We start from the raw sequence: 13,187 nt of genomic DNA on the forward strand, positions 1-13,187 counted from the left end.
TACCATTAAAATTGCAAGTGTTAAGCATGATGATTTCTAAATGTACACTGCCAACCCAATGGGGCCAGAAAATCTACATTTATTGTTTCAGAAGACAAATATGGATGCCCATGTTAAATCATTAGACCTTAACCCATTAAAATTATGAGACCATAAATCAAACTCCTCATCCTTCCAGCATCTTTACCTCTGTCTGATTCTATACATTTTAATGAACACATCCAGGCTGAAAACAATAGTGATGACATTGTATTTCCAGCTTTCTTTTTGCTCCTCCATTGAGTACATATTCAAATTCTGTCAATTCTACTTCTGCGAGGACTTTCCTGATTTTCCCTTTCTATCCTGTTTACCACCAAGATGGGCTGAGTCTATCTTACCGGCCAAACTCTGTCTTAGCTACTTTCCACTCCTTATCTCTTTAATGCTCACCAAAATATTCTGAATTGGGTTTCTTTACATTGGTGTTACAGATATATGGTATGAGGGTTGAAGAGATTAGGTTAAGGTAAACTAGTAGGTGCAGAAGTTAAGATTCAAACTCAAGCCAAGCCCTTGTCGTTTAAAAGAGAGTTTAAACATTCAAGATAGATAGTTCTGGGTTTGTTCCTTGTTCTGTCACTTATTAGCCATATATTAGACAACTATCTTAGTATCGCTAAGCCTCATTTTATTCATTCAAAGTGGATATAGTTAATATTGTTTGGGCTTGTAAATGATTAGCACATTTTAGCATATATTAATATGCTCAATGAATACCTTATTTTAAGATACAATCATTAGTATGATTGTATTATTGTAACATTATTTAGTTGGTCTCCTCAAAACAACTCCCTGGTTCAAACAATATATTTTCCTTCAATTCCAACTCTGATTATGCCACTTTCTGGCTTAAAAATCCTGAGTGACTCCAGTGGTATCCTATTTTCAACAGAATAAAGGCAAACGTTCTATAACAGAATAGGGGATTTATATTCTGGCCACAAACAGCACCCACATTTAGTCCCACTATTTCTCATTTACCTTGTAATTCAATTAACACAGGCAACTTACCATTCTCAAAAATGTCCTGATATTTTCAGCCAAGTCTGAGCTTAGGCTGATCCACTGCCCTAGAATACACTGCCCAGCTAGCTTTGCTACAGTTCTGTCCAGTGATCGCAGAAGACTCAAATACCGCATCCTCCATTAAACACTCCTGGTTCCTAGAGGAATAATTACTGTCACCCTGTCTTGGTCCCCATTGTGTACAATCATGTTGGCATGATATATATTGCATTCTGCCTTGTAATGCAGATAACTGTGAATATGTCCTGTCTCTACTACTGAAATCAGGAACTGAATACTTTACATATTTGTATGAACTCTATAATAAAGACAGATTCACAAAGGAAAAGGTATTACTGGTATGTATTTTCTCAACTTTTTAATTCTTATTTTAAAATGTACTTTTATACAATTTTGGCAATTTTTTAAGTGGAGAATAACCCTATTTGCTTCCATAAAGGAATCTCTTTAAAACAGATGACTTTTCCTTCCATTGATAAAGTTAAATGTGTGGTGCTACTTGAAATAATTCAGAAGAAATGAAAACCTAGATTACTTACAATGATATTTTCAATAAAAGAAAAATTATGATTAACTGTATCCTGTACAGTAACTGTCCTCTTGCAAGTAAGTTTGAGGTTCTCTGAGGTCACTGCTGACTGCCAAAATACATGAAAATAGAGCTTCTCTTTTCAAACAAGCAAAATTCTACTTACTAAAACAATTTAATTGACACAGTGATACTCTTTGTTTACATGGAATATAAACCATTCTTATTATAAGCCTTTGATACTGCCTGTTTTTCTCCTTGATCAACTGAGGACTTTCAAATAGTACATTGAATTCTCACAGCTGGGCACCTAAAGATTTCATGATGTTCTAAATGTAATCCCTCCCTGACAAGGGAGATCTAGGGAGTTCTATAACAGGGTATCAAGACCATCATTTCAGGGAAGTATTGCTGATGGCTCCTCTCTCCTGCACAGGCTTGCTGTGACTGAGCTCCTAACTACCACATTCTCTGTTGTGTGCCCTATGTCAAACTCCACATTGTGATGTAATTATCCAATCCCACATTTCCTCCAGGAGTAAGCCACTGCTGTCTATGCCATTTTTCTCAAGATGACTGCTACCCATAGAACTGAATCCAGAGATTTGGTACCCTCTCTCCACTGTCGAATATCTTGGATAAATGCTCATTCCCGCAAGCCCGGGCCATTGCCCAGGTCTTATGCTACACTTGCCAATTGCATGCTGGGTCACCCACCTAGAAACTGCCAGCAACTTTCACATACTGCTTGCTTGACTGGCTGGGCCATCCACCCAATTCTTGCTGCCTGGACTCCTTTGCATTACTAAATCTATACTAGCTGATATGCATCAAATCTGGATTCCATTTACCACAAACCAGACTTTGTGTTTATCTCTAACTCTGAAAATGATTCATACCTCATTGAGTCTGAGGTATGAAATATTCTAAAAACAGATTTTTCTACTAGTTTACCAAATACAACAAACTTATTTATTATCATAAAATATAGAAAAGTAATAGTTTCATTTACCAGTGTAGCCTCTCATCTTCTGTACTAACGTTCATAGGATAAATAATGTCTTATTTTCTAAAGACACAAACTTAGTAATATTGAGGTTTTTTTTTTCTTTCTCATTCAACCCTTATTCAAATTAGGAATCAAATTTTAAGATTTTATTTTATAATAGGTTTCTTCTTTTCTGTTCATAACAACCTGTCTCCTGTTTAATGATATGATAATTCTTAAACATATTTTGACTGGAATTTTTTTCAGATATTTACATTACTAATGGAAGAGTCCTTCTTAAATATAGTAACCTTATCATTTTCTTTTTTTTTTGTTTTTCTTTTTTTATTATTATACTTTAAGTTCTAGGGTACATGTGCACAACGTGCAGGTTTGTCACATATGTATACATGTGCCATGTTGGTGTGCTGCACCCATTAACTCATCATTTATATTAGGTATATCTCCTAATGCTATCCCTCCTCCCTCCCCCCACCCCACGACAGGCCCCAGTGTGTGATGTTCCCCTTCCTGTGTCCAAGTGTTCTCATTGCTCAATTCCCACCTATGAGTGAGAACACACGGTGTTTGGTTTTTTGTCCTTGTGATAGTTTGCTGAGAATGATGGTTTCCAGCTTCATCCATGTCCCTACAAAGAGAAGATTTCAAATGGCTGTTGGAACTAACTGAAACTTATTTCCCTGTGTTTTCAAGACCCTCTATTAACTGTTTTTTTTAAATATCTGTTAACTTATCATCTTTGTTTTCATCATCAAATTTGTACAATATATTACTTTTTCACTTTATAGTTTTGAGCCTATGGTTTTCAACTCATAAAATACATAGTAAAATAAAGGCATGAAAACGTTCATGTTAAGACATCAGTAAATTACTTGTATCTAGATCAAGCCTTAATACCAGCCTAGGTTCATATCCATTGAAAACACTACGTAGGAAGGAAAATCAAACCAAATAGCCTGCTAGCTTTGGACTCCAAGTTTATAATACAGATTTTGTTTTCTACTTTTGTCTTATATGCAAAATACACAAATCACTTGCTTCAAGATGAAGTTCAAAACTATCCTCAAATTATTCTTTCTTTACAAAGTAAATCAGTTCTGGCTGGGTGCGGTGGCTCATGCCTGTAAACCCAGCACTTTGGGAGGCTGAGGAGGGCAGATCATGAGATCAGGAGATCGAGACCATCCTGGCTAACACGGTGAAACCCCATCTCCAAAAAAAAAAAAAAAATACAAAAAAATTAGCCGGGTGTGGTGGTGAGTGCCTGCATTCCCAGCTACTCAGGAGGCTGAGGCAGAAGAATAGCACGAACCCGGAGGTGGAGCTTGCAGTGAGCCCAGATTGCACCACTGCACTCCAGCTTGGGCATCAGAGCGAGGCTCCATCTCAAAAAAAAAAAAAAAAAGAAAAGAAAAAGAAAGTAAATCAGTTATGTTACTAATTGATTCTGCCCTCACCAGTTAAAAGACAATATAATAATTGTCAATTAAATATTTTTTAATCATTTGTAAGGTTGTGTAATACATTCCTTGAGGCAAAACTAGATGTATGAGAAAAACTGTCACCTCTTAATTTTGGAGTTGACTTATATACATAAAGATGCTAACTGAGAATTAAGGTCAGTGATTATGCAGGGACTCAAGTTAAAAAGAAATAACCATCTGCTGGAGTCATTAGGGGATGTGTCATATTCTTATAAAAAGTAGAACTTAAAATGTGGGTAGATTCAGGAAAAGTATTTTAGTAAAGGCATAGAAGCTAAGAAAAATAGGTCATGGTAGACATGAGATAGTCATAGTTGAAAACTATATAGTGGGCAAGTCTAACAAAAAACAGTGCATATTGAGAATTGGGAAGGATAGATATTGAAATGCAAACTTGAGCTGGCTCACAAAGAACATTGAAATAAGAAATTTGGTTTTATCAGAGTAAACAGACAACCTACAGAATGGGAAGAAACTTTTGCAAACTATTTATCTGACAAAGGTCTAATATCCAGTATCTATAAGGAACTTAAGCAAATTTACAAGAAAAAAACAAACAACCCATTAAAAAATGGGCAGATGACATGAACAGACACTTTTCAAAAGTATACATACATGCGGCCAACAAGCATATGGAAAAAACTGAACATCACTGATCATTAGAGAAATGCAAATCAAAACCACAATGAGATATCATCTCACACTAGTCAGGATGGCTTCATGCCTGTAATCCCAGTACTTTGGGAGGCTGAGGAGGGCAGATCACTTGAAGTCAGGAGTTCAAGACCAGCCCAGCCAACATGGTGAAACCCCATCTCTACTAAAGCTGGGTGTGGTGGCACACGTCTGTATTCCCAGCTACTCAGGAAGCTGTGGCAAGAGAATTGCTTGAACCTGGGAGGTGGAGGTTGCAGTGAGTTGAGATCTTGCCACTGCACCCCCACCTGGGTGACAGAATGAGACTCTTTCTCTAAATAAGTAAATAAATAAAAATAAAAGTTAAAAAATAACAGTTGCAGAAGAGGTTGTGGAGAAAAAGGAATGCTTATATACTATTGGTTGGAATGTAAATTAGTCCAACCACTGGGGAAGACAGTGTGGCAATCCCTCAAACACCTAAAAACAGAACTACCATTCGACCCAGCAATCCCATAACTGTATATATACCCAAAGGAATATACATCATTTTATTACAAAGACACATACATGCATACAATCATTGCAGCACTCTTCAAAATAGCAAAGATATGCAATTGATCTAAATGTCTATTAATGGTAGGATGGATATAGAAAATATAGTACATATACACCATGGAATACTATAACAAGAATGAGATCATATCCTCTGCAGGAACATGGATGTAGCTGGAGGCCATTATCCTTAGCAAACTAATATGGAAACAGAAAAGCAAAAAACAAATGTTCTCACTTATAAGTGGGAGCTAAAAGATGAGAACACATGGACACATAGAAGGGAATGACAGATACTGGAGGGTGGAGGGTGGGAGGAGGGTGATGGCATTAAGGGCCACAGGAATATTAACAGGTCAAAACATGACCATATCTCTGACCTAATTGATAGATAATATTTCACCATCTTTAAAAACATAATTAGTTTCTAGGAGCTTATATACATGAATAATCTTTCTTATATATCTTGAGTTTTTAGGTATACAGTTAAATTTTATTAATAAACAAATGAAAGTTATTGAAACTGAATTTAATTTTGATTGCCTTACAAAAGGACATTGATTTTTATCTCAGTAGCATTGGTTGGAGAAGAGAATGATAAAATGAGATAAGGCATGAATAATTCTCCAAAAAAAAGATATATTGTAGATAGCTTAGGCCAATTATATCTAAGTATTAGAAATAATGAGCATTTAACTTCAGTCAAAAAACTCGTATTCTGGCCGGGCACGGTGGCTCATGCCTGTAATCCCAGCAACTTGGGAGACCGAGGTGGGTGAATCACTTGAAGTCAGAAGTTTGATGCCAGCGTGGCCAACATGGTGAAACCTTGTCTCTACTAAAAATACAAAAATTAGCCAGGCGTGGTGGTGTGCACCTGTAGTCCCAGCTACTCGGGAGGCTGAGGCAGGAGAATTGCTTGAACCCAGGAGGTGGAGGTTGTAATGAGCTGAGTTTGTGCCACTATACTCCAGCCTGGGCAATAAATAGAGCAAGACTCCATTTCAAAAAATACTAATAATGAAAATAAAATAAAAAAATAAAAAATAAAAATAAACTCGTATTCTTTTCAATACATTAATATTCTTTGCCTTAAAAGTATTTACTCTTTAACAGTATGATTCAGAATCTCTACCTCAAAATAGAAAATTTGGTTCAAATGAAAGTATGCCTTCACACACACACACACACACACACACACACACACACACACACACATTGATAGAGGGAGGTGGTACTGAGGATAAGGCTATGTCTGAATTTGTTGTTAATGCTCTTGCTATTCCAGTCTAATTGTGGAAGTGGCCAAGGAAGAGTCCAGTTACAAACATAACCAAGATTTTTTATCCCTAACACTCTTGCTTTCCTTAATTTGTTTTATTGAGGAACAGAATACCTCTTTCATACCTTGAAATAGGGATGACATTTGAATTTCAAATTCAAATAGGTATTTCATATGAATTGAAATATATATGAAATACCTATTAAAATACCTATTGAACACCTCTTTTATACTATTTCAGAGTAATATAGAAAATTGTCGGTAGCTATGCAACACCATTGTTCTAGAATTGGGGTAGAGTTTGAAGGAGGATGAAATTCTCCTTGTGCACTAGTGTGTTAATGTTGTACTACCAGAAAAAAAAAATGAGAATGAAGAATATGAGACTGTCAAAACTTTTTGGCACATAATTGAAATTATTTCCCACAAAATTATATTTGTCCAAAAAATAAAGTCAAAAAGCAAAAACTGTGACTAGAATATTTTTTCTATGGACATATAAGTAACATAGTAGATAAATAGTTCTCAATTCTCAATTCCATTCAAATTTCTCATATTTATTCATTAATAGGTCTGAGGGAAATATTCAAATTATAGAAGTTCAAGAAAAACACAGAGATAAAAAGCCATAAAGCTTATTTAATAAAATAATGGAATAAAACTGCTCAAATCTAAGGAAAAATACAAATATTCAGGCAGAGGAAGGCCAAACAAGACTACACTAAGACATGTTATAGTCAAAGAGTCAACAATCAAAGACACAGGATCTTGAAAGCAGCAAGAGAAAAGCATACAAAATAATCTTGAAGGACTTGAAGAAGGCACCAATAAATGGAAAGCTTATCCCCACTGATGAAGTAGAAAAATTAATATTGTTGAATGTCTATGATATCCAAAATGATCTGCAGATTCAATACAATTCCTAACAAAATTCCAAGGACATTTTTCACAAAAATAGAAAAAAATTTTTAAAAGATATTAAAATGTATATGAAACTACAAAAGATCCCAAATAACCAAAGCAATCTTGAGGAAAACAAAACAAAGCAAGATATATTACAAAGCTATAGTAATCACAACAGCATGATACTAGCATAAAAACAGACACACAGACCAATGGAATAAAATAGTGAACACAGAAATAAATTCTTGCATTTACAGGCAATAGATTTTCAGCGAAGTTTCTAAGAACGGACAATGGGGAAAGGGCAGTCTCTTCAATAAATAGTGTTAGGAAAACTAGATATCTATAGGCAGAAGCATGAAATTAGAGCCTCATCTCACACTATATAAAAAAACAACTTAAAATAGATGAAAGACTTAATTGTAGGATCTAAGCCCATAAAATGACTAAAAGAAAACATAGAGGGAACTTCTATGATGTTGGTCTGGGCAAGATTTTTAGATATGACCCAAAAACACAAGCAACAAAAGTAAAAAAACCAAATGGAATTACATCAAGCAAAAAACTTTTATACAGCAATGGAAGCAACAGAGTGAAGAGACAACATATGAAATGGGAGAAAAATTGGCAAACTATACATCTGGTAAGAGGTAATACTAAAGTATATATCAAACTCAAGTATCTCATAGTAAGAAAACAAATAACTCATCTTAAAAATGAGCAAAAGGCCTGAATAAACATTTCTCAAAAGAAAACATAAATGACCAATAGGTTTATAAAAATAACATCGCTAACTATCAGGGAAATGCGTGTCAAAACCATAATGAGATATCACATCATACCTATTAGAATGGCTGTTATCAAAAGGACAAAAGATAATAAGTGTTGGCAGGGATGTGGAGAAGGGGGAACCCTCATGTACATGGGTGGAAATGTAAACAGTATAGCCACTATGGAAAACAATATGGAGATTCTTCAAAAAATTAAAAATGGAACTACCATATGATCTAGCAATCCTACTATTGGGTATATATCAAAGGAAATGAATTCAACTTACCAAATCAATATCTGCACTTCCTTGTTCATTTAAGCATTATTTACAATAGCCAAGATATAGAATCAGCCTAAGCATCTTATCAGTGGATAAACGGATAAAGAAAATGGGGTACATATACACAATGAAATATCATTCAGACATTACAAAGAAGAAAATTCTGTAATTTGTGACAACATGGATGAACTAGAGGACATTATGTTAAGTGAAATAAGCAAGGCACAGCAAGATAAATACATAATCTCACTTTTTATGGAGTCTAAAAAATTTAAACTCAAAGAAGCAGAGAGTAAAATGGTAGTTCCCAGAGGTTGAGAGTGAAGAGGTTGGAGAGATTCGGTTAAAGTACACAAAATTTCATTTTGATTGGAAGAAGAAGTTGAAGAAACCTATAGTAGATTCTAATAGTAACAATATATCATATTCTTGAAAATTACTAAAAGAGTAGATTTTAAGTGTTTTCACCAAAAAATGATAAGTATCTGGGATAATTAATTCCTATGTCATTTTTCTGTATCTAAACATTTCATTATTTACACATATTTCAAAACATTATGTTGTACATGAAAACTATATACTGTTTTTGTCAATTAAAAATTAAAAATAAAAATAATTCTGAGGGAGAACCAGAAATAACAACAAAAGAGGCAGTAAAGAGTATTTTCTTCAAAAGCACAGTTCAATTAATATGTGTACATAAATAAATATTATATATTACTCAATATATAGGATATAATTCTATCCATATGAACACATACTAATAAATACATACACACACACATAGCCTTTCTGATTCTCTCTCCATGTGTGACATTGCTCAAGCCTTTGTTAAATTATTGTATTCTATTTGGAGTTATGTCACTTAAGATAGCCATCAGTGACTTTTGAATATTATTTTGAGTAGCAGTGAGTGACAATTTGTTTTTCTATTGAGAAAAAGTGAAATAGTTGAATTTGAGCTGGTTAAGTTCATTTAGACATATAAAGAACTTTTTAACTCATATTGATCTTTAGCCTGAAACTAGGAAATGCTATATTTTTAGCATGTGAAGATAGGAACCAACCACTCAAAGAACCTTTTGAAGTAACTGTCCTCTTGTTAAGCCTATGATTTCAAAAATAAAAAGAAAACTGTCATTTATACTAATTAAAGGAAATAATACATACTAAAAAAGTAAAAGAAAAAATGAGAAAAATCTGGATAGAACTCAATTGCGGTCACTTTATCTCTTCTTAACAGTCACAAAATGAAATATTTGGGTCACAGTCAAGCAGTGCTTCATAGGAACTTATTAAAAACAGAGTTCATTGGTTCACATATACTTTGAAGGTTTTTAAAAAGTGAACTTATTCTACTGCTTTCAATCATTTTGCTTTACAGTGGCCATCAGGTCTTAGGATGAAAAAAATACCCTGTTATTTTGAAGAAGTATCCAAATTTTATCTTTGGAAGATAAACACTTTAACAGAAGATCCAAAAACGTCGATAACATCTTAACACTCTTTGATTCCTTTATTATTCTTAGTTGTGTCCTCTAATTTTTTATGTGTTTGCTAAAATTATTTGCACACAAAATAAATTTAGTTATACATAGGATGAGACAGTCACAAGTAAAAGATCAGGTGAGAGTACTGCATCAAGATTGTTTAAAAGATGATTATCTTTAGAATTGTGCACCTAATCTAGTGTAACATATTGGCTTTATTTTTATTTAGTAGCAATCACAGGCTGAATCTGTTATTCAGTCAATTGATCAAAACCTAGAAGTGCTACCAGTAACACTGCTGTGTTTTCCCAAATAATGCAATGAATAAATAATAGGTATAATAATGAAAGCTACCTGAGGCTAATCCAATACCACATTCCCTATAAAATGATTTGTTTTTGCTAATATCTATATTTTCAGATATCTGAACATTTCATATGAGCAAATATTATGCTTGTTTGAGATTATAGAAAGGTCTTGTGCTGTTTCTCCATTTTCTATTTACACCACAATTTTCAAACCCGAGTTTGGCAGGATTTGGCAGGGTAATAATCCAGAAATAGAGTTATATGACTATCTTGGTTTCACTGTTACAAACTGCAGCATGTACTATAATAAGGGAGGTTGTTCTAAATGGTTCTAGCTGGGATGGGAAAGACTTAAGAAGAGGCAAGGAGGCCGGGTGCAGTGGCTCACGCCTGTAATCCCAGCACTTTGGAAGGTCAAGGCGGGTGGATCACGAGGTCAGGAGTTTAAGACCAGCCTGGCCAAGATGGTGAAACCCCATCTCTACTTAAAATACAAAAATTAGCCAGACGTGGTGGCAGGCACCTGTAATCCCAGCTACTCGGGAGGCTGAGGCAGAGAATTGCTTAAACCCAGGAGGTAGAGGTTTCAGTGAGCCAAGATCATGCCACTGCACTCCAGCCTGGGCGACAGAGCAAGAGTCTGTTCAGAAAAAAAAAAAAAAAAAAAGGCAAAGAGATTAAGTTCACTAACTCTTTGGGATATTTTAATATTTTAGCTCTGTCCCATTCTGAAGCTTCTGGTGTGTGTATGTGTGTGTAAAGAATGGTTAAGTCTTGGTTCAATATTTTTCTAAATGGCTATCTTATTTCAACTCTACTGCACCTTAAAACTTTAGGGATTAATAATCTATCATATTAGTAATATTTTATCGGTACCATATTGTGAAATACAAATTTCGATGTTGTCTATAAATAAGCTTACCTTCACATCTTTGACATTCATCCTTGTTCCCTCTTTCCCAACAAATATATCATCAATGTCCACAAGGATGTACCTGTCCAAGGACAATGTCAGCCTCTTCCCTGACAAGAAGGAGATGGCATCTATGAAGATGAGCTTGTGCAGCCAAAAGTTCAAGTTGTTGCCAAAAAGTACTCTCTGAATTCCATCATGAAGCCCCAGATCCTGAATCACCGTTGCAAAGAGTGTTTTGCTAGACAAGGATGACAGGGATTTTTCTGTCTGTAACTCAGTTAAAAGTACAGGCTGGTAGGTTGAATGATTATATTGGAAAATAGTCCAGTCTTCCCCAGGAAGAGGGCCTTTCTCAACCTTGGGGGCTTTGGTAATATGCAGCAAAGGAGATTGAGGGTTAACAAAACAGTCCTTTAGAGCTAGATTATTGAAAAGGTTTAACGGAAAGCCTTTTAATTGTGTACTTGGTAAGCTGTTCTCATTGGCTTTATGAAAACCGATTATACTAACACTGTATTCCACACAGTATTTTTCTAAAAGCTCTCGATTCCATGAGTCCATGCTGACATACTTCAGAATATTTTCATAAATAACTAAAGTATATTTCCCTTTGCCATTATCTGTAAGAGGAGGTATATCTCCCTTTCCAGGGGCAATAACCATGTGGTACTGAAATCGGCTGGACTCCAAAATAGCTATGATATCTTGACCGAGTTGAGAGTATTGGCTCTCCACGAAGAGAAGGACAGTAGGGTCCGTTTTGGATGTGTCAATAGGTTTAACTGTTTTCAGCTCCATTGACCTATATGGTAGAATTTTGATGTCAGTGCATTCTGCTTCTGCAGTGGTTTCAATAAGTGTCATTTCCTGTTTGTAGCCAGAGTAGAGAAAATAGGCAGAAATGACAATGCTCACCAAGCAAAAGGTAGCTAAGAGAACAATCAATGTTCGAAAACTTCTCCGAAGTTTCACAATAAGATTCATTTTTTAGAATAATGTTTTGGAAGCTTTTTCCCAATTTCGTTTCCTAAAGTGCCATAGTGAATAAAGTATGAGATGTTGCAAATATCACTTCCCCAGAGTTCATGTAACCATCGCAAATCATGTAAAATGTTTGAAGGGAGCACAACTGAGTTAAAGCTGGAAGGCAATAGATGGGAAGGATATACGTTGAGGAGATTTTGAATATGTCCAATACTGAGAATTGCTGCAGAATCCTCTAAGCATAATCTGAAAGAGAGGAGAGATGTAATAACTAAGATAAAAATAGAAATATAAATATTTATTTCTATATAAATGCTGATGCTCAAGAAACATATATAGCAATGATAATTTTAGTGTTAATATGCTAAAATATTAACAACCTGATGTTTACAGTCTAGACTTAACTACCTAGAGTATAGTAGATTTTTTGATAACCTCCAGAACACAGAACCCAATTTTATTTTGGCCTAAACATCCATATGTATATAGAAACATGTATTGAGATCATTTTCTAACTAATCCCACCAAAAAAGAAAAGAAGTAAGAAAGTAAGCTTTAACAAAGTATGTCAGTTACCATAAAACTATTCTACAGAACTGATAACCATTATATACATATAAAATTAGGAAATCAGGAATCAGGGGCTTAGAGCAATTAAACATGCTCTTAGGTATCTGCCTGAGTCTCTGGAATTCCCAGCTGACTAAATAAATCTGTCTTAAGTTTAGAGTAGTTACAAGTTTTTCTCTTGAATAATATATCCTTTATCTGGACTCACAGGGAGCCACTTGGCCCTCTTCAGCATTACAGCCCAGATACATAGGACTGCTCCTTCTTCTTGCAGGAACAGGCATTCTCAGATCTCGCTAATGAAACAGAGGACAGAACGCTTAGGTGAAAAGAACAATGACATGTTAGTCTCAAAGCATATTTCCTAATTTTGCCTACTCTTGTAATAAGAATTAAAACTCT

The 13,187-nt window shown here is 34.9% G+C and overlaps 1 protein-coding gene across 3 annotated transcripts in view; it reads right to left on the minus strand.

Moving 5' to 3' along the window:
• Positions 1–13,187, minus strand: part of NDST4 (N-deacetylase and N-sulfotransferase 4) — a 285,858-nt gene that overhangs the window by 237,059 nt on the left and 35,612 nt on the right. Inside the window, exon 2 of one of the 3 annotated variants that reach the window (NM_022569.3) lies at positions 11,238–12,461. The exons of 1 other annotated variant lie outside the window; for it this stretch is intronic. In NM_022569.3, the coding sequence (NP_072091.1) occupies positions 11,238–12,215 (978 nt within the window). In that variant the 5' untranslated portion in view covers positions 12,216–12,461. Of the gene's footprint in view, positions 1–11,237; positions 12,462–13,187 lie in introns of those variants that run through there. One more of the 3 variants, XM_017008546.2, reaches the window with a different exon arrangement.

Source organism: Homo sapiens, chromosome 4, assembly GCF_000001405.40.
Source record: "Homo sapiens chromosome 4, GRCh38.p14 Primary Assembly".
Lineage (NCBI taxonomy): Eukaryota > Metazoa > Chordata > Mammalia > Primates > Hominidae > Homo > Homo sapiens.